Source organism: Homo sapiens, chromosome 2, assembly GCF_000001405.40.
Source record: "Homo sapiens chromosome 2, GRCh38.p14 Primary Assembly".
NCBI lineage: Eukaryota > Metazoa > Chordata > Mammalia > Primates > Hominidae > Homo > Homo sapiens.
Genome location: NC_000002.12, coordinates 102,504,285 through 102,525,289, shown reverse-complemented (window position 1 = coordinate 102,525,289; position 21,005 = coordinate 102,504,285). Strand labels below are relative to the sequence as shown.

General features: G+C 39.5%; 1 protein-coding gene across 2 annotated transcripts in view; it reads right to left on the bottom strand.

The window, feature by feature from the left end:
- SLC9A4 (solute carrier family 9 member A4) overlaps positions 1-21,005 on the bottom strand; it is a 60,747-nt gene that overhangs the window by 8,683 nt on the left and 31,059 nt on the right. Inside the window, exons 4-10 of one of the 2 annotated variants that reach the window (NM_001011552.4) lie at positions 19,819-20,036; positions 17,009-17,211; positions 16,357-16,443; positions 13,017-13,087; positions 11,039-11,200; positions 5,335-5,431; positions 135-266 (exon numbers count right to left, since the gene is read on the bottom strand). In NM_001011552.4, coding sequence (NP_001011552.2) covers positions 135-266; positions 5,335-5,431; positions 11,039-11,200; positions 13,017-13,087; positions 16,357-16,443; positions 17,009-17,211; positions 19,819-20,036 — 970 coding nt within the window. The remainder of the gene's footprint in view (positions 1-134; positions 267-5,334; positions 5,432-11,038; positions 11,201-13,016; positions 13,088-16,356; positions 16,444-17,008; positions 17,212-19,818; positions 20,037-21,005) is intronic. The other variant, XM_011511158.2, reaches the window with a different exon arrangement.

The following is a 21,005-nucleotide window of genomic DNA, read 5'->3' as shown; positions in this document are numbered from 1 at the left end:
TCAGGTAACAAGGTGGGGTTTTGTTTGTTTAAGCATCGATGGTCATGCATGTGAGATCCTGTACAGGAACAGGCTCAGCAGATGACAAACACTTGCACACTGAAGGAATGTCCCAGTCCCCAGCCCCAATGTACCGGCTTTCCCCAGGGCAGGCTGTGACCTTTCCTCATGCTCTCCCTTAAGGTGTTCTGGCGGCGGATCAGAATCTCTTTAGCCTGCTTCTCACTTGTTTGGGGTTTGAGGTTGTATTTGTTGTAGGACAGGGTCTGCAGAGAAAATGGAATGTCAAATACGTAAGGACTCCTCCATACAACTTTCAGCCAAGGAAGCCATGGAAACATCAGGAACCTAAGACCAGGAGAACAGGTGAGCACCTTGGAGGTCAGCTAAGCATTTGCCTTGATTACGAATGAACAAGCCTCAGCGCCAAGAAGAAAAGTCTATGACCCCAGGTCACTGCTTTCAGGGCGGAGCTGTGGCTAGAGCCTCTGCCTTCTGCTCTAACCCTTACAGAGGTCTTTCTCTTAGTTACCCACAGACTTGGCCTGCCCCTTACATACACTTTCCTTTCCAGGTCATGTTTTTGATGCCAGGCCAGTGAATTTAATAAGAAAGGAAAATATCTAAACTACTTTGGGAATTTCCATAAGGCTCTTGGTTTTTAATTTTGCCAATTAAGGATACCTACACACGCAAGCACACAAACACACACACACACACACACACACACACAATTCCTATCACCATTATCATCAATTCAGGAAGAAAGTCTCTTAACCAAAGTCACAGGAAGAACATAATTTGAGATTTAAAAAAAACAGTCCTTCAAACTGAATCAATTTAGCTTTATGAGAATGTCTTCCTTGTCCTTTACCCCAGACCAGTGGAAACTTGTCATGGACCCTAGGCCAACATTAGTCAGTCCTCAGACAGATGTTTGCAAAATGCTTAACTGAAATTTCTTCTCCCTCCTGGTGCTCACTAAAGGTCCACCAGCAAATGCTCAGTTTGCCAGGGGTCAGTAGGTGACACACTGTATGCACTGATAAACCACAAAGTCCTGGAGGATGATAGGATTGGGACAGCAGGGGCTCTCCCTCCCAAGTGACGGATGCTGTAATAGGGATAGTCAGTTTCACTTCAATAGAGAAAATGTTCTATGTGCCAGGTGCTGTGGAAGGCACAGGATTACATAAGTGAGTAAATTAGAATTACAGTCTTCAAAAGGCTTACAGTTTCCTGGAGAAGTCAAATCAATAGGGATAAGATGCTATGCGTGCAGCTAAGTGATAAGATTCTGGGATCATCGGGGGTCATAGAGTACAGGCAAAAGGCACTTCATCCAGTCTTGGATGGGAAAGGTTCAGTGTACTGAGATGAGTCTTGAAAGATGAGTGAGTGTTATCCTGGGAATAAATTCCAGGAAGAGAAAACACATGAGCTAAGACATCAGCTGGTAACCACCTTAGAGGTGAGAGAACAGTCAGAGGATGTGCTGGAAAAGAGCCAGGAATGAGTCTGTTACCATAAAAGAATGGGGTGCTTCATTCAAAGTGTGTGAGAGGTGAGACTGGAGGGGCATGGAGGGGCTGCGGCCAGGCCACAGGCAGCCTGCCAAGGAGTAGAGGCTCCATTTTCCAGGTCATGTGCTTTTTAGGAGGGTGCACACACTCCAAAAAGTGCCACAAGATGCCCCACAGGGTGAGAAAGAAAATACTGATACTTCTATTTCTATTGATTTTTATCCAAACAAATACAAAACAGATTAAGCTCTATTAGTACTTAATGTATGAATTTATAATGGGCCCTCACTGAGTCCATACATGAGACGGTCAAGTCAACAAGGGATTGACAATGGCATCCTCATCGGTTTCATCGGCTTGCAGTTCATTGTTTGTGTTTCAGTATATGTGCATCCAGTTAAGTAGATTTATGGTTTCCATTAGCTATTAACTAAAGTAACCCTCACAAAATAGATAATTGTATAAAAATAGTGTTGTAAAGAAGGTGTAAACTGGACTGCCAAGGTGGCTCACACTGGTAATCCTAGCACTTCAGGAGGCCAAGACAAGTGGATCACTGAGCCCAGGAGTTTGAGACCAACCTGAGTAATATGACTAAACCCTATCTCTACAAAAAATACAAAAAAAAAAAAATGCTGGGTGTGGTGGTGTGAACCTGCGGTCCTAGCTACTCAGGAAGCTGAGGTGGGAGAGTCGCTTGAGTCTAGGAGGTCAAAGCCCCAGTGAGCCATGATCATGCCACCGCACTCTAGCCTGGGTGACAGAGTGAGACTGACAACTGTCTCCAAGGGAAAAGAAAAGAAGGCATAAACTGAAGGCCAAGGGAACAGTGAGGGAGGGGTAAATCCAACTTTCTCCTTCTCCCAATGGAAGCTCTTTATCATCCACTTTTGGCAAATTAACAGATCTGACAAGAATTTGCCCCAAGAAGTTGAATTTTGAAGACATTTTGAAATATGAATTCTTGTCTATCATTAGTAATGATACACCTCAACCTATGTGCATTTTATACATTGAAATATTAAAAAATGGTAACATGACACTGTCGTGAAAAATAACACAAGAATTAAGAATATAGAGACAAACTTTTACAATTGTTTATCAGTTTTAAAATCATGCAAAACTGAATTCAGTGTGTGTGTGTGTGTGCATGTTTGTATACATACAATGTATTGCTAGTAGGATTTCCTACACCTAGACTTGGGAGGAGGCTGCACTTTATAAGGAACACTTGGACATTTGGCTTCCATTTCACCTCCCATAACCTCCCATGACCCACGTGCTTCTCTATTTTGCCTATCTGCAGGGAGCATAGAAGGCTCTATGCATATAATGTCCATGCAAGTGTCTTCGCTCCTCTCCCTCCATTTCTGTGTTATAGTGGAGCTTGCATTTCCCACTGGACCTTGAGCCTTAAAGGAGAATGAACTTTGTCTTTTTCAGTGCAGTGTTCCTGATGCCCGGTGCATTCTAGATGTGTATTAACTATTTGCTAAAGGAAACTGAAATTGCTCTTTTCCTTTGAAAGTATGTAGAAATTCTGAGAGTGATCTGATTATCCAGGCTACTCGGGAATCACCCATCAATCTGTGACCTATCCTGGAGGTCTGGGCTGAAGCCAGTTTCTTCTCTTGTAAGATTAGTAACAGTGTTTCTCAATCTCCATCCCCACTGTGTTTCAGAGAGCTTCTTCTGTGGTTGTCCTACCGGGAACCTCCAGAGGTGAGTCCCTTAAGTTTTCCACCCATGAAGATTCTGTCCTGGGTGTACTGAGTCGAAGGACTTCAAACAGAATTGGCTGGAGTCCTCCTAGGAGCAACAGACCCAGCAGGGCCAGCTCAGTTTCGGATCAACTGTGCATTAGGGTCGCCCAGAGTCAAACTCTGCATTCATCCTGGTCCTGCTCTGAGGTAAATCCCGACGCCCAAGATGGCCTCTTTCAAGATGTGAACAATGAGAAATGCCCTGGCTACCAGGCCTGCATCTATCACCCAGGCTAGAGAGTGCAGGATGGCTAATGTACACCCTTTGTGACATTCCTCAAAAATGTAGATTGTCTGCTAGAAACAGAGTAAATGTATAATTGTCCTGAGTTGCATTTTCAGGTAGACTTTTCCTTCAAGAGATCAAGAGGACCATGGTGGAAGAGAGAATTCTTATGACCTTTGTAAAGCTGAGTAAGGAAAGGAAGACGGGAAGGGGTAGGACTGGTGAGTTTGACTTACGGAGTAAGCAAAGCAGAGTCAAAAAGCCACCTCATAGGCTTGTAACTGCCCTCTGTTTATCAATTGTGTTCTCCCCATTTGGCTCCCAAGGTCATCAGCAATAAACTTATTAAATGGAAAGAGGCCTTTGTGCTTTAATTCGAGGGCAATGAGGAAGGGAGGTGCTGTATGGCTTAGAAAGTAGAACACTGGAAAGCAGAATGAGTAGGATACTTACTAAAAAAGACCAAAGGATGCTATCTTGGAAACTGCATCCAAGGAAGAAAAGAAAGGATGAGCAGTTGACCTTATTTGAGACTGGATTAGAGTCCTAGGATCTCCATCTCCGTTTCTAGACCTTTCCCTAAACTTGGCCTTCATCCACATAGGGAAAAGGCTGAGTACCAGGTACCCTATGGGTTCTGGCTCTCACTAAGCTAGCCACATTTTTCAAACCAGGAAGTTGTTATCTATTATTTATCTAAGGCAGGATGTGATAGTCTTACTGAAACAGTTTCACTTGGAATGATTTGAAAGCCATGGAATTTACTCTAAGCGCACTACCATTAGTGCTGACCTGTATTCCTCCAGCTGGTGCAGAGCCTTTCACTGACACATTCCTCTTAATCATTGACCTTTGAGTTGAAACAGGAGACCAGAAAACAATCACTTTCATTGGATTATATAAGTCCAGAGTCATGAAAAGAGCACTGGGTGGGTGGGTAGAAAACCTGTGTTCTTAACCTGGATTTGTTTTGTAACCTTGAACAAGTCAGATAACCAACTCCACTGACCTCAGCATCTTCTCTTTGAAAATGGGGAGCTTTGCCTAGGTGATTTTGTTTTAGTTTCATTAAGACTATGATCAACGACACAGTCACAAAACCAAAGGCCCTCAAAATGAATTCATTTCCAATCACACCCAAGTATTAGGATTAAAATGGATGATCAAATCCTCAAACTTGAAAAAACTTGTCATTATATGACTTCGTTAGATGACTAATTAAATGGAATATTATTTAACTAAGTCAAAGTTTCAGAAAGATTCATCCAGTGTCCTCAGAAATCTTCTTAGTATGCACTTTGGACCAGGTCCCAAGGACTAGTAGAGATTTCATACCTAGTTCCAAAATTGAGAAATAAGATGTCTCCTTTTATTCAGGCATTTATTCATTATAAATTAGAGTTTCAATATTGTAACCTAAACTATCTCAACTTTCTCATCTTTACTATAGTCAATACAATTGGGACAACTGCACTGTGATCAGCATCCTGGTGCCATCTTTGTTCTGTGGTGTGGTGTGTGTGCTTCTCTACAGAGACCTGCTAGTTCTGGACAGCACCAGGCTGCAGGGCTAGGGCAGCCTGCCCCCTAGAGACGGTAACTAGATTTGCATTTCTTTTTATGTCACAGGTACCAATTTTGCAGCAGAAACATGACAATTAACTTTCTATTCTCCAAACTAAGCAGAGAGAAAATATTCAGCAAGTTACCACCTTACAGAGGGTGACGTGAACATCAGGAGACTTGAACATCAACAGACTCCCCCTTCAGAGACTGTTTTCAAGGACAGAAAATGGGGACAACACAGGTGGCTCATACACACCCTTTGCCGAACTTGGTACATGTTGGATGTCAGAATGTCCCTTATGGACTCCACATCTTCAGGGGAAAGTCTTTTGATTCCTTGTATCCTCTGGGCCCTGGAATCATTATTGGAGAAGAGACAAACATTATTCTTTCATTTGGCAAGAGGTGCCACAAAACTATCAGTGGGCCTTGCTCTGTACTGAGGGGAATCCTAAGTTCCAGAATCCTACATATAATTTTTCCTATTGTTCTAGTAAGTTGGTTTGATGTCAAAACACATGTCTTGACTTCAGGTTTTGAAAATACTGTTCCCTTGGCTATAGCTTATATATGGTAATTATTCCAACCCATTTTTTTAAAAAGGTCTAAAGTGGTAACAAGTTATTTTTTTCCTCCAAATCTGTTATAGACTGAAATGTTTGTACAACACAATAAAAATCAATTGTTAGAAAATGATACCATACCATGCAATCCAAATATTTTACCGTTAAATGCAACAGAAAAAAAATGATTCATTCAAAGACAAACTCTTTGCTAGTTTTGTACTTACCTATCTCATTGAGGACAGGTGACAAGCAATTCACAGATTAATACCATCTACACACCACATTTTGATTAGCATTTATCTAATAGAATATTAGTTTCATGAGTACATTTATATTGGAATTGTATCTGTAGGGATTTTATCTTTGGTTAAGAAATAATTGAAGAAACCAGAATCACATTTTACAAGGGCAATTAGACCATTTATACCATGAAAGCCAGCCCAGCTCTAAGATATTATACACTGTGACCCCTTCCCACCTCTGAAAGGGATTAAAAAACGGGTTATGCCTGTGCCCAGGTTAGTAGTCAATGCACAATTGTCCTCTGGGGATTATAAAGTCCTGACATTGCTGGGGGAAGAATGATCATGTGACAAATGTATTTGATTACAATCTAGTGGCAGTAATTTTAAAAAACTTTGTATTACATGAATAATATATATTCCATGTGGAACATAAGAACAAAAAGGAGAGAACTAAAAATAATTAACTCCCTTTTTAATACTATCACCTTCCTTAACATCTTGATATAAACCTTAATGGGTTTGTTTGTTTGTTTGTTTGTTTCTAGCCTCAGCTCTTTTGAATTTTGAACGCATAAGGGCACTGAAGCCTTTGATATCTGCTTGCATATGCTCTTAAGATAATTGGCCACAGACATGAGTATTTATTAGTTTTAATACAGGCCACCTTTTAAGTATTTTTCAAAACATTAGTAGCAATACAGCCATAAATAGTGAAGACATTTTAAAAGTAATGTACATTTGATAAAAGATATTAAAGGACTTGGATACTGAATATCACAGCAAGCCTGGATTTTGTTTAGCAATGCTATCTGTAGACTGACTAATGTCCTCTCTATAAACTGATCGAAATCAGTTTCCATATCGTAAAGCTGCAAATGCCACCTCTATTGATATACAGTTACCACCCTTGGTGATCTAAACATTATTATCAGGGCATTTAAACCTAACTGTTTAAATGTCCTTCACATAACATTTATTCTGATTTAGATATGCCCACACACTTCCACAATCTGAACACATTCCTTTAATGTGGTGAATGTGATGTACTGCTAAGCAGAAACAACAGCTAGTCAAATAGTTCCATTTATGTGTTCATTATGAAACAACCTAATAGGGAAAACCATTGATAAAGGAAATGGTAAAGTTACACTTGATATAGCAGTAGCTGTAACTTGGCACTCTTCCCAGTTTATAACTGACCACTTTGGGGGGGACGAACTTAGTTAAAATCCATTCAAGCTCTGGCTGGAATGGGTGCTCCAGGTATCCCAAAGGCATTTCCCTTCATGGAGCCACACTGAGAAGCCGCAGCTATGGAATTATATCAGCTATCATTCTACAGCTACAGAATTGATTCCCTTGGGCAAGGTGATACCTGGAGTTTTCTTCATGCCACTTCATTAGCAAAATCGTCCCTGAAATACTCACAGCACAAACACAGGAGATACAGCTTTAGAAAAACTGAATGAGTGATCATTTCTATATCAAGTCAACTTATAAACCAAAAGACTCTTGTCACTGGACCATTCATTCATTATCCATAAAGGAGATCTTCATCACCTTAAATAAAAGTTCTGCAATAATTTCAATCAAACTGGAAAAATCTGAACCTACGTATATTGAATATAACGTTCATCTTTCCCATAACTCTTCTTACTTATCTTTTATATTGATACATAGTAGTTGTACATAGTTTTGGGGTGTATGTGATAATTTGATACATTCATATAATTAAATTAGGGTAATTGGGATATCCATCACCTTACATTTTTGTCTTTTCTTTATGTTAGAAACATTCAAATCATTCTCTTCTAGCTATTTTGAAATGTACAATTAGTGTTAACTATAGTTACCCTACAGTCCTATCAACCACCAGAGCTTATTTCTTCTCTCCAAGTGTATATTTGTTCTCATCAATCAACCTCTCTTCAGTCTGCCCTCATTCTTTTTCTCTTTTGGTCAGTTGCTATAATAATGTAAAAAGAAGCTTCAATTCTACTATAACATCTAGTAGAATACACATATCATAGGATGAAGTTCCAAGATATCAAATATGACTTGGGAATTTATTTAGAAGAACACATCTTTTTTTAAGCAGCTAAGATGTGAAGTCTGTAGGAAAAGTGGGCTCAGAAGACAAGAAGACTTGCCTGCGGTGCACACAGTGGAACCCACCAGCAGCCCTGTGTGCAGCTGCTTAGCATGTTTTTACAGAGGTCACCAAGATGAACAACATTTGGAATGAGTGATGAGTGGCTGAGATGATGCTGCTCCTCAAAATACAGTGTTCCATTGTGGAAGTGAAAAATGGCATCAGAACCTGCATCCTAGTCTTCTGTGTGAGAATGTGGAAATGTGAATTTATACCTGTCAATGTGCAATCCATTAGAAAATTCTTAGACTACAATGAAGTTACTTTAGGCCTCTTTTGAAAAAATGACACATTAAAATTATCTGGGAGTTTTAAAATGCATTTTGAAGTTGCATGGTTGTTACGTTTGTTATGCCTATAAATATATAAATATTTTATATTTTAATATCACTTTAATTAAAAAATGTGTAAGGCTTCAACACTTTTAATCAGCTTGGGTCTCTATCTCTGATAATTTCTAACAGCTTACCACTCACTGGTGAGATGAGCTGCTTCATATTTGAGATAGTAATCAAAGTGCATATTCTACTTATTCACAGGATTGCTTTGAGTTTCAAATAAGATAATGTATGTAAAAGCAATGGGATTCCAAAAAATCAACATCATCCAAACTGTGCAAATAGACAACCATAGTGGCAGTGTTCTCCTGAAGGTCATAGAATTTGAAAATCTAAACCTTTTGTAGAACAATTGCTTGAACTTCTAAAGAAAAAAATACCTGTGCATTTTGTTGTTATCATCTCATACAGAATAATAAAAAGCGAGCTGAGTACACACTTCTTTTTCCTATTATTGTATGAAGGTTTGTTTGGTAAGAAATTAGCTGCTTTGATCTCAGGAGAGGAATTCCTTTTTGCTTGACGTCCTACAGATTTCTGATGAGATCAAATAAAGGCAATTTAAATACTAAATATGTATTAAATATCAACTTTAAAAAATCTCTCCCACCCCAGTTAACTAACTGCTTGGGGTGTACGAGGAAAAAAAAATTATCTCGTACCTATAAGGCTGTCTCACTAATCTTAAATTCATTTCTAAAGAAATAATTGACTTAACCGGCAGGCCCCCACTCCAAATAAAACTGGTTTAAAGATTGCCTTGAGATCAGAAATTAAGGCAAATGCTTATGACTGATGCAATGTAATACAAAAATTCAAAATATGCTTTGCCACCCGGCAGACTGATTCTCATTTAGATAAGCACCCATACCTTCCGAAACCAAGGGCTCACATAAGTGAAATGGTCTAAACTGCATTAATCAGCATTCATCCTTCAGTGAGCAGGTCAAAGGCAAGGAGCCCAGGTGAGGTGCACCTCTCATAGACTTGCGTAGCTCTCTATTCTTTATGATTATGTTTGTGTGGCCTTTTTTGTTAACGTCATGACCCTACCAGAGTATGGTGTCCATGAGGGCAAGGCCTGTGTCTGCTTCAAGGTGGCTGGCACATAGGAGGTGTCTTAACAGACAGGATTGGATCAAAGGTGTCAAATGCAAGGGGGTTGCAAAAAACTCAGTAACTAAGGTAAGTCAGATTTAAATGCAATATTTATAGATATAAAGGTCAATGCAAAAAATTACTGATGAATATAATATCAACATTTTAAATAATAGAGGATCGATATGCCTGATGTTTCCTTTGCCTGGGGCTCCACCATGATGCAGCAGAGCACTGCCAGTATATATCTGTCAACACTTTTCCATTTTAATATCAGAAGTTTCCTTAAAGCCATGTGATGAGCAGCATCAAAACAAACCGACAACCCCTCCACCACCCTCAAAGAAAAGTCACTAAGAAATAAGGCAGAAAGCTTTGTATTATACTGAGATATCCTCAGGGATTATCTCAGTATAATACAAAGCTTTCTGCCTTATTTCTTAGTGACTTTTAGTTAGGATTCTTCTCAGGCCATGTAAGAAATGCAAGGGTGTTTCTGATTTATTAGCAGGCAAGGGATGAAGGTGTTATCTCAGAAATAACACTCAGGCAATAGAGACAAATTTATTGCTACCTATTCTTAGCTCTTCTTCCAACTTCCTTTTTAAATGTGAAGACATAATTGAAGCATATGATCAAGTGTTTTTACCTGCTGAAGACAACAGGATGGAGGGGGCCCATGTTCCTTATCCTAAATATATGTTGTGATTAATTTTCCCAATAAATCAGTTGTTGGAGAAAAACTGGGCATCTTTGGGAAATTAATGAGTTCTTTTGACATTGAAGGGGCTCTCATTAAATGTCAGAGTTAAAACAGCTTTAAGAAGTATTTAGCCAGCTCTTGGGACAAGTGGCTACCAGAGGCTCTACCACGTTGCATAGAAAATCGTCTTGTAATGATGGGTTTATATTCCAGTATCACCCCTCCCTATGTCCTGCTTCCACAACTCCCTGTTCCCCAGGAATCCAGGCAACTCCCTGCTTCTACTCCAAGCTGGTCTCACATAGACTCAAGACAAATTTCACAATCTCATGTAGACCTTCGCCTTAGATGCAATTACAAACACAACTTTCTCTTTACATAGACCACCAATGACCACACCTCTTGCTCTCATCACTCCTTCCCAAATCCAAGTTATCATCTCAGAAAGTTAACTCATCTCTCATGTAAAAGAGGAAGAGAAATGGCTTATGGGAAGAAACATAATGGTAGGAAGGACAGAATCACATGCACGGGGGTCATGTCAAGAGGAAAATGAGACAGTCTTGTAAAATATGCTGCAATTCTACACATTCGCTTGCCCTTCCCTCCCAAAGAAAGATGTCATACAACTCTAAGGAAGCAACATTTGCTAGAAAGTAATTTTCAGAAACTAGGTAAAATATGTGAGCTTGGGCCAAGCCATAAAAATGCCAAGACTTAGATTACATATTTTAAAAATAATTTCTTCTTTATATTTCTGCCTCTTTACTCCTCGTATACCTTTAAATGAGGCAATGAGTCAGCGCCCCTTGGAATTCTGACAGTGAAAGTTTAGAACAAAGAACAGATATGACTCACTGATGGGGTATGGAGAAAGCTGTAGAGCTCAGTATCCCAGTCTCCACCATCTCGATGGCTTGCTTCATTTCCAGCTTCTTGTACAAAGAAACAATGCTTGATTTGGGTAGGTTCTTTCTGATGAGGATTTTCCGTAAGTATCTATGATCAAACTTCTTAAACCTAAAAATGAAAACCAACATTTTGGAAATCTTGAACGTCTGTATGTGTTACATTAAGTATGCATTTCTCTTGAAACAAACTACTTACTACTTAACTTTATTCTGAAGAAACATCAGGACAGTGCCTGGAATTCATAGCATTTGAACACATTTTTTAAAAAAATTCATAGCATTTATGCATTTTTTAAAATAAAAAAAAAGAATGGCCTACTGGCCTGAATACATTGAAAATCAGCTAAACAAAAGGAAGGGACAAGCTGCAATCAGGGCAAAAAGTGTGCATAAGTGAGGCGCGGGGGAGGCCCAGCCCAGCTCAGCTCCAATTGTAAGAGAAGAAATGAGGGGGCTGAAGCTTTTGAATAAGTGTTCCATTCTAATAGCGCATAACAGCGGCAGCTGCACTTACAGTAATACTGGCCTATTCAACCAGAACCCAATAAGTTTAAATGGCCCGGTAGTTACAGTAGTTTTGCCCCATTATGCTGCAGATCATTTTGAATCCTACCAATTAAGGGGAAGAAAAAAACCCTACGTATGTCCCAATAGCCTGAATGATGGAGATTCTGAATAGGCGAGACTGATGGCCGCTGACTATTGTAAGGAACCTCTGGCCAGCCCATTCGACTGAGCTGCGCTATGCATATGGTGCCTTCAGAGTCAGCCATTTGTTTGGAGTTGGAATTTTCAACACTTTCAATCATTTTACATTCAAAGAGTAGTTTGCCCGCCTGCTTTATTTTCCAGAGGGGCACATAGCTTTCCGGGCTGCTGGTTTATTATCTGGCAATTGGTTTCCTGGTCTGTGAGGTGCTAAGCCCCTCCAGGGTTAGGGGCTGGCTTCCTGAGCTTTGCTGTCCCAGCTCGGCTCAGACCAGGCCTCCTCTTATTCCAACTGGGTCGATCTTCTGTCTTCTAGTTTTCTGCCCTCATGAGAAGCCGCGGTTCCTGTGTATTCTCAGCCCACGGTAATCACCTCCCCAACCATAACACCCTCCCTGACTTTCTTCTCACTGAGCTCGCCTTGACCTTGCCCTGTTCAACTCCAGAGGCTGCCCTCATTCTTCCCATACTGGATGCTTTGTGTCTCCTGACGTGCTGGGTCCTCCCCTCTGCGCCCTCCACACCCTGACTCGCTCGTGCTTCGCTGCCAGCCTCTCTGACCACTTCTTCTCAATCTCCTTCCGCACTTTCTTTTCCTTGCCTGCGCCACGAGAGTGAGAGCTTCTCAGAGCCCCATCCTCAGTGAGCTTCCAGCTACTCACTGACAACTCTAGCCGCAACCTCCCTCCTGAACTGGAAACTAAGTCCAGTAAAACAATACATTCTGAAAGGTGAGATATGGTGAAGAAGAGGGATTTGGGCATTTTAAAAAAGAATTACTATATTTGAGAATCTTAAAGATCTTCCACCATGGCCTCCCCAACAATGGAGGAATCCCTTGCCAGGATTCCTAAGGAGGCACCAAGCTCCCTTTCTAAACTCCTTTTCTAAGCTGGCCATTCCGTGGTAGAGCTGATCTTATCATTGGGAACCTTGTCCTTGTTTTTAACTTAAATATTACTTTTCTAATTTCTACCCACTAGCTGTACCAGTTCTCTCTGAAACAACCTACACCAAGTCAACTGCGTCTTCCACCTGACAATTCTTCATTTTCCAGGCTTAGCATGCCCTGGAATTTCAACCACTTCCTGTAGGGGATGGCTCAGGAGCACTTTATCTTCTTGGTCTCCATTCCCTGAATTCTCTCTGATTTTATGCCCAGCTTCCAATGGAACCTTTAGAAGTTTGTCAGGGAGTGAAACCCTCAGCCTCCTTACTTGTCTCTCACTTGGTAGTGACTCCAGTGCCCACACACATCTTCGATTCCAGCCTTTAAGTGATCCATCAGCTGCCAAACAAACACAAGAAAATGATTGCTGGAGAAACGCGAACTCTGAAAGACACACAGGACAACTAAGACACTTTAAAAAACAAAGGAGCCTTTAATTTTCTGGAGCCTATCTGACTTTCTATCACTGTGTTCATGTAATAAAATATTTGGTGCCTTTCATAGTAATTTCATAGTAATTTCAACTTTGGTTTAAAGACTCTGTAGATAAGTTTCTTCATAATTCACATAATACGTAATGAAAACAGGGCACCTGGCATTTGCTTTGGATAATACTTTTCTAGAATGATCTAGGAAATTTCTCATTACTGAAATCACTCGGAGGATAATTAATAATAATAAAATATATCATATTTAAGATATTATTAAATAATTGTAATAACTTACTTTTAATTTCATTGCAGAAGAAAAGAACACACTGTTATCCAATCATATAATTTCTGAAAATATAATTCTGTTAATATTCTACTATAACATAGAATAACAAAGTATCTCTCATTTTAATATGCTCGTTTGATCTGAGTAATTACATATGACCACTTAAGCAAATTATATTGCATTTGTTTTAACCCAAATTGTTTATGGAAATTTAGGAAAAAGTGCAATCTTCAAAATAATTATGAAATTAGTCTCCAAATATTTTAAATTTGAAATTATTGAAGTCTATACTGGCTTCTGAATTTTGTTTTGAAAAATAGTTTGAAATATTAAATTAATTATTAAATAATTAATTCACTACCTTCTACCAAAAATTATAACTTTTTTGAGGAAAAGAAAAATAAATGAGAGAAGAGTGAAATATCCAAGTTCCATGGACTTAGGTGGATTATGCAATATGTCGAAATAATAAATCATAGGAGATAAAGATAGATGTTAAGTTGTTACATGTTTTAAAACAGTCACTACTTATCCTTATCTGTTAATTATTTTCAAATGGCCTTGAAAATTTTTCATTAGGATTTCCTGGAATTTAAATAACCAAATTTCCTAGGTCACTTTGACCATGAACTTTAGGGTAGATTTTGGAAGACTTCATCATTCATCAGTTTCTCTAGTATTAAAATGGTGAATTCTCAGGGATAGAGGAAACCTAAAATTTTTCAAGTTCAACTATCTCCTCAAAGCTTGAATCTCATGTGCAGCAACTATGCCACATGTTCCCAATCACTGGTTAGACACATCCACTTCAGCTTCGGGTGTGCCAATCAGGAAATGATTGTCAGAATGCTCTTTCATTAACTGAGTTGAAGTCTCCACCTATAACCCTTCAGACATTAGTTCTCATTTCTATTCCTTGGAGCTGTACACAGTGGTATCCCTTCAATGTTGTGCTGAACTTGAACAAACAAATAGAAACCATGCCCAGTGTCATATTCATCTTTGCCTGACTGGGATGTTTTCACTAAAATCTGCCACTCGGCCATGTTTGCAAAAGAAGTAATACCCTTTGCCCCTCCTATATTCAAAAAGGGCAGAGGACCCCATATTTCATTGGAACGGTGATTTTAGAAACAAACAGGACAATTTTGAATGTTAGTCACTGTGATAGTATTTTGAGGTATCAATTTAGACAGGCAAGTCCCCGGTTATTCAATCAAACAGTACTCTAGATGTTGCTGTAAATGTATTTTATAGATCTGATTAAAGTCCATAATCAGTTGTCTTAAGGGAGATGACCCCAGATAATCTGGGTGGGACTGATTCAGTTGAAATGTCTTAAGAACAGGCCTGAGGCTTCCCTGATGAAGAAAAAATCCTACTTGTAGACAGCAGCTTTGGCTCATGCCTGAGGGTTCCAGCCTGCTCTTCTGGATGGCCTGTCCCCTGGATTTTGGGCTTTCCTAGCCAGCCCTAACACTAGTGAAAAACAATTCCTTACAACAAATCTCTTCCTATATCTATATCTATATCTATATCTATATCTATATCTGTATCTGTATCTGTATCTGTATCTGTATCTGTATCTGTATCCGTATCCGTATCTGTATCTATATCTATATCTATCTATATCTATATCCATCCATCCTACTGGCTCTGCTTCTCTGTTGAACCCTGATGGAAACATCACCAGCTTGGACAAAAAAGGAGGACAAAATGAAAGAAAGATGTCGGACCCTCACAATTCTATAAGCAAGAAATAGACTGATAAAATTACTCAGCTGCAAATTTATGCTACCTTTATAAAAAAAAAAAAAGGAAGTATGATTCAGAGGGTGAAATTGAGAACCCAGAGGGTGGAACAAAGAGTTGCAAGAGATTAGGGGATTCCCAGCCCTTGGAACCAAATAGAGCTTGCCCAGGAAACATTGAAGTTTGCTTAGTATCGATGACTCCTTTTTTTCTTCCATTATCTCCATAGTTTTTTGAAAGGCAACAGTTACAACTGTTATTCAATGAGTGTCCTACCATATATTTTAAGAGCAGATAACTTGTTTCCTGAGTTTTGCAAATTCATAGATGAAGAGAAACTGAGCCTCAGAATAGATTATACCCAGAGCCTCACTGAGCCCTGCTCTAGATGATGGAGATATTGAGATTTGGGATTTTTGAACTGATAAGATTCAGATGATATTTTGGATTTTGAATTGATGATGCAGTGTATTGAGACTTTTGGGGTATTGGGATAGAAGGAAGATATTTTGCATGTGGAACAGATATGAATCTTTGGGAGACAGACGGCAGACTGTGGTAGGGAGAACAATGACCTTGCAAAGATATCCATGTCTTAATCCCCAGAACTTGTGAATATGGTAGTTTAGTTTAAAGGAGGATTAAGTGGCAGATGGACTTAAGGTTGCTAATCAGCTGACCTTAAGCTGGAGACAGTCTCCTGAACTATCCACGTGGCTGCAGTGGGATCATAAAGCTCCTTCAGTGTGGAAGAGGGAGGCAGAAGGATCATTGTTGGAGGGATGCAGCCTTTGCAGGCTCTGAAGATGGAAGGGGCCATGGGCCAAGGAACACAGGCAGCCTCTGGAAGCTGTGGGAGGTGAGGAAACAGATTCTCCCCAGGGCCTCCAGAAAGGAGCGCAGCCCTGCAACAACTGGATTTTGAACTTCCGACCTCCAGAACTATAAGACAATAGATCTGCATTGTTTTAAGCACTAAGTTTGTGGCAATTTCCTACAGCAGCCATAGGAAACTTATACAGTCACTCTTGGCAGAGTGGGGAAGGAAAGAGGAAGTCTAGTGACACGTGCACATGTCTCATGGTGACAAAGGGGAAATGTCTTGTTAATTTATTAATTGTGACTATGAGATAACTTACACGAATATGAAGCTCTTCATTGATGGATTCTTTTTTATTGGTTTTTTTAACATCCAGGTACCTGACCAGAGGGCCAACTGTGATTCCCTAGATCAGAAATAACAAAACAAAGGGTTTTGTTGTAATGAAGACTGTCACTAGAGAGAGCAAATTTATTAACAAAACTATTAGAATGTCCAATCTATATGTTTTTGTACTAGCTATTACAGAGTAAATGCTGCAATGTTCATTTCAGTTTTCCATTCCTTTAAGTACTGCAATAAAAATAGATATCATGCCTGTATGTTAATATAGGAATTTGGTTTCACCCATTAAAATAATCTTTCATTAGTTCATTAAGAGCTAACTCCAACTAAAACAAAAACTTGTGCTACGTAGTACTAATTGGAATCTCATTTTCAGAAATATGGAGTGACTATTAGTCACCTGTTACTCAGGAATCTTTTGATAAATATGCTGTATTGATTAAAAGGCAATACATTTTAGAAGTTAAAGGATGGTCACAAACATGATCTAGAAATCTCCGGAAATTTAGTTTGGGTATTGAGCACAGATCTGAAAATCAGATAAAATGCCTTTATTTGTATTTTACTAATTTACTACATTGTCCTGAAATAACCTATTTATTTAAATATAAGGGAAATCTACTTACCTGAATAAATACAGTAAAGTATATAACTACTAGAGTAGCAGTGACAAACATTTTCTTCCTAGGAAAAAGAGACAGAGGAAGCAAAAATGCAAGTGAAAAACTTCCAGCTCCTCGAACACCACTGTAGAAAATGATGCACTGGTCCTTGATGGAGAAGGGGAAAGTCCGAAACTGGTTACTGATATAGAAGAGAGCAAATACGCCTAGAAAGGGGGAAACGTGTATTAGAGCAGAGGATCATGAACGAGCAGAGATACAGAGCTAGTGAACTGAGGTTGTGTGCGCGTGCCCTGCAAACAATGCAGCCTAATTCCATCATACACCCATGATTGTCTATCCCAGGTAGAGTATCTTTTATGGCTTCTCACTTTGATAGTTGTGAGACAGTAGCACTTCAAGTGGGAATCTTCGCTACAGTTTATTGGCATGTGTTGTGTGTATGTGCCTGCATTTATGTGTTTAAATTAATAAAATCTTGATTTTGTTAATGTAAGGTATATATTTTCTAATCTATATTCATAATTTTTGTCCCACCTTTCAAAACTAGTCAAAGCAAGGATATTGTTGAGTGGGTGGGGGGATAAATGCATTCTTATCATCTCATATTCTCATTGGGTATCCAAAGGAGGTCTGTAATTTAAAAATGAGAGGGGTCCTCTTAGAGACCGTGGTCTCTACAATCAAATCCCTTACTGTTGGCTTGTCCCTCTTGAGGTTCAATGCAAGCAAAGAAGGAAGTTGGCAAGGGTTGGGGGGTGAGTGGGCGCTTCTTACTCTCAGTGAGCTTCTCAAACAGAAGGTTTAGGGTGGAAGAGCTTGCTTGAAACATAGAGGAGTTTTCTACCACATTGGTTTTCATCCCCAAGCGGCTCACATAACCTAGGTACCACCAATGCAGTGGTGCCTGCTAGGAAAGGTCCTCACTAAAGCTCTGATGAATCAAAGAAGAGTTTCACTTCGTAGAATAAAACTCTCCACATCCTCATGTGCGTCTCGTCACACAGACTTGCCAGCAAGCATTCTTTGATAATAGGCACATGGATAGTGCAAAAGATAAGTGAATTTACTTTTTAAAATATTGTTGTGTTTGTCCTGGTTCCTCTCCATGCCAGTCATGTGACCTTGAGCGAGGTTCTTAACCATTTCCTGTCCTCAGACTCCTCATCTGCTTGATGGGGTAGCCATAGCTTTTCTCTCAGAATGTGAATGTAAGGGTTAAATAAATTTAACATCCATAAATAACATAAGATGCAGCCTTTTATGTAGCAAGCCTTCGCGAGTGTGAACTACTATTAGTTGTGATGAGTCAGGGTGGGAAGAGAACAGGCTATGAGCGGGAGAACCGGATTCCAACACCTGGCTCTGTCAATTGCTGTGATGTGGCCAATTTTGTCACTGTTTTGGTGGTTTTTCCATCAGTTTCCTCAACTGTAAGAGTATGGGGTTGAGCTGGATCATGAAGGATTAACAATGTTGAGGTTCCTGCAATATAAATCCTCTCCTAGGTAGTTTCTTTTCTTTTTGGCTCGGCTAAAGCTCTGTAATTTTACTTCTCTTGGCATTAGCTCTACTCCCCTGTAGATTCCCAGAGTCCCAGAGTATTAGAACTGAAAGGGAACTAAGAAATTTGTTCAAATCCATCATTCTGTGGTTGAGGGAGACGATTTTGAGTAGTTACATGTCTGTCCAAGATCAAACAGCTAGTTTGTAATAAGGCCGGTGATAATGATTTAAGATAATAAACTTGTATCACAGCTTCCTCTATTCTCCCCCAAGGAGCCCAACAAACATATATATTCAGAGTTACTTATAGATATTTTAATATTTCTGTATTCCTGTTAATCTCCTCTAGAGCCTAAAACCCATCCTAAATGAATTTGGAATTAATATGTTCAAGATAGGTTATCAGCCATTTCACCTAATTTCTCTTTGAGTAATTGGCTTGAAAATATTGGTCAAAGTCATTTAACATAACGCTTCAAATATTAGTCAAGTCACTTAAAAATAGATTTGCTTTTAATCAAAAGGCAACACATATATTGTAGTTCAGTGCTTAATGTTCTTTTCTAGCTCCTGAAACATAAATGTACAAGATAAATCATCAGCCACTAGTTCTCATTTTAAAAGATTAGTTACATTTTACAGGTGTGATGCCAGTTACACTCTAAAGTTGTTCTTACTAATTAATACGAAGCTCTTTTAAAAATATTCACTTTCTGATTTGTTTGTTTGCTATACATCACACATTCATGCACTCAACCCTCAAATGAAACCACCTATACTATTTAGGGGGATGTTTTCTATCAGTATTTGTCTTCCATAGAATACAATTTGTGAGATCTCACTTATCCTATAGTGAAAGTGTAAATAAATGCCCACAGTTTATAATCCATATCTGATTTAAGGTGCAAGAGGATACAAATCTGCAAAGAAGTGAAGAGCAAGGGATATGTTGGTCTTAGGAACCAAAAACATTGGTGCAACTCCAAATAAAAAGTAACAAACATGTATTTTTCCATTGACTGAATTATATTTAAATAGGTAGATGTGAAACTTCTTTCTTCAATTAAAAAAAAGTACTCCTTGCCCCAGCCTTGCTTCAATGCAGAACCTTATCAACCACTAATTACTTTGAGCTGACTGAGGGAACAAACAGAAAAGATTCCTGCTCACGACCAGGTTCCTAGTCTACCCTAACCGGTAAAACCAGTTAGCATCTACTCAGTCCTCCAGTTTTAACATTGCGGAAGGGAATAAGAGAACTGAAAATGCAGCAGGACCGGAGACTCTGGAGCCCTGCCGTCTCTTACTGATGGCTCTCCAGATTTGGCAGAAGGCCAGGGTGAAGCAGATGAAGGCCCAGTTCCACTCGTGATTCTTGCCCACAGTGGACACACCCATGAAGATGAAGATCAAGGTCTCGCTGACGCTGCTCAGCATCTTCATGAAGTACTTGATGGTCGTGTATGATGTCTGGGACACGTTTTCTTCCACGTACTTTTTCATTGTTACTGCGCAGGCTGTGATTCTATAAAAGGAGCAGAGTCTCAGAGAAAATCCATGAGGTTTTCCCCCTCCACAAAACGCCCTCCCCACAGGCAATGCCACAGATGCATGAAGCCCGTGTTGATGCAGGAATATCTCCCTTATTCCCTTCTGTGGCTGCAGATTTTCCGCAGATTTTCTTTCTCCCTCTTTTCCCTCCCTAAGAGATCTTTACAAGGTAAAGGTGAATGTGGTGGGAAGGTGGGCGTGGCACGGTGAAATAAAAGGACACGTAATTCGCATGGGCACACCCAATGCAGAATGCTTCCCTCTTGCCCTCTTCATGAAGAGTTTGTCAGTCCCAACTCACACTCTCTGCGTTACTCTGCCTTAAACCAAAATAACAGAATAATTCTTCAAGGTTCTCATTTCCTCCAATCCAACCATAAATGATCAAAACTTCTAAGACAATGCAAGGTTCTTTTTTATTGGCTTTATTTCAAATATTTCTGTTCTAGAGCCATTAAGCAAGTATGGGAAAGAGAAAGAAACTTGCCTTGTCTTAGAAGTTTTGATCATTTTCCAGGTGGGAAAGTGACAGATGCCTAGAGTTTACACTATCACATTTAATTGAAAGAGGTATTTCTCTACAATAAAATTAAATGTATCTGCCTGAATAGCTGGAAAGAAAGATAATGCCGTACAGAAAACAACATCATCAGATATAATAAGCCAAGCTGAGAAGCCTCATTCAAAGATAAACATCTCAAGGATACAAGGACATAAGGATAAGCATTTCAAAAATATTTTCATTAGAGCAAGGAAATGTAGATTTCTAGTCTTATCCCATCTGTCTAGTTTCATCACACACTGAAGAGCCATGGCTGTGTGATGTGGTTTGAGGGGCACAGCAGAAGGCAGAGCCCAGGAATGTCAGTCCCTCGTGCATGCCTCTCTTCAACTTTAAAATTAACTTTTCCACTTTGGGAGGCCAAGGCGGGCAGATCACGAG